Source organism: Homo sapiens, chromosome 20 (assembly GCF_000001405.40).
Source record: "Homo sapiens chromosome 20, GRCh38.p14 Primary Assembly".
Lineage (NCBI taxonomy): Eukaryota > Metazoa > Chordata > Mammalia > Primates > Hominidae > Homo > Homo sapiens.
The window spans coordinates 62,204,090-62,205,710 of record NC_000020.11 but is presented as its reverse complement, the minus strand read 5'-3'; positions in this window follow the sequence as shown (position 1 = coordinate 62,205,710).

Sequence of the window (1,621 nt, the reverse complement as noted above, 5' to 3'; positions counted from 1 at the left end):
CGGGAAGCACACACGACCACAAGATGGGAAGGGAGGCTGGGAGTGGAGGCTCACACCTGCAGTCCCAGCACTGTGGGAGGCTGAGGCGGGCAAATCGCCTGAGCTCAGGAGCTCGGGACCAGCCTGGCCAACATGGTGAAACCCTGGCTCTACTAAAAATACGAAAATTAGCTGGGCATGGTGGTACATTTCTGTAATCCTAGCTATTCAGAAGGCTGAGGCAGGAGAATCGCTTGAACCTGGGAGGTGGAGGTTGCAGTGAGCCAAAATCGCGCCACTGCACTCCAGCCTGCATGACAGAGCAAGACTCTGCACCACCCCCACCGCCGCCAAAAAAAAAGATGGAAAGGGACATTGCTTGGGGTCAAACAACGTGCCCCCAAATCCACATCCACAGAACCTCAGAATATCACTATTGGAAATGGGGTCTGTGCAAATGTAACTAAAGATCTCAAGATGGGACCATCCTGGGTTTAGAGAGGCCCAAATCCCACAACTGGCTTCCAGAAGATAAGAGGACAGACACACAGGGGGAAGTTACATGAAGACAGGGCAGGGACGGGAGCCTTTGCCACTGCTAGCCGAGGATGGAGCAGGAAGGACCTCCCTGGCCTTGAGAGGCCTCACCCCCGACAAACAAGAGAATCCACTTAGGTTTTTTTTGTTTTTTTTTTTTTTTTTTCTTGAGACAGAGTCTCACTGTGTCGCCCAGGATGGAGTGCAGTGGCGCAATCTTGGCTCAAGTGATCAGGGGTTCAAGCGATTCTCCTGCCTCAGCCTCCTGGGTAGCTGGGACTACAGGTATGGGCCACCACCCCTAGCTAATTTTTACATATTTTTTAGTAGAGATGGGGTTTCACCATGTTGGCCAGGCTGGTCCTAAACTCCTGACCCCAGGTGATCCGGCCGCCTCGGCCTCCCACAGCGCTAGATGACAGGTGTAAGCCCCCATGCTCGGCCAACTTCTGTTAAGTCACCCGGTTTGTGGCACTTTGTCATAGCAGCCCCAGGAGACTAATAAGGAATAGATAAAACTTCATTTTCAAATGGACACACTACGTTTTCCTACAGCGCTGCTGTGGAGCTGGGCTTCTACAGGGGATGCTCAGGGCAAACCCCTCCTCGCCCGTGTCCAAGTGGAAGGTGGCAGGGCCCCAGGGCACCCAGACTCCACCCCACCTGGGCTGCGGCAGGAGAACTGCTTGAACCCAGGAGTCGGAGGTTGCAGTGAGTGGAGATCGCGCCACTGCACTCCAGCCTGGGTGACAGAGTGAGACTCCATCTCTCTCTCTCTCTCTCTCTCTCTCTCTCTCTCTCTCACACACACACACACACACACACACACACACACACACACACACACACACACACACTGAGTTTCAGGCCAGGCGCAGTGGCTCATGCCGGTAATCCCGGCACTTTGGGAGGCCAAAGTGGGCAGATCACCTGAGGTCAGGGGTTCGAGACCAGCCTGGCCAACATGGTGAAACCTTGTCTCTACTAAAAATACAAAAATCAGCCAGGCGTGGTGGTGCAGGCTGTAATCCCAGCTACTTGGGAGGCTAAGGCAGGAGAATCGCTTGAACCCAGGAGGCAGAGGTTGCAGTGAGCCGAGATCGCA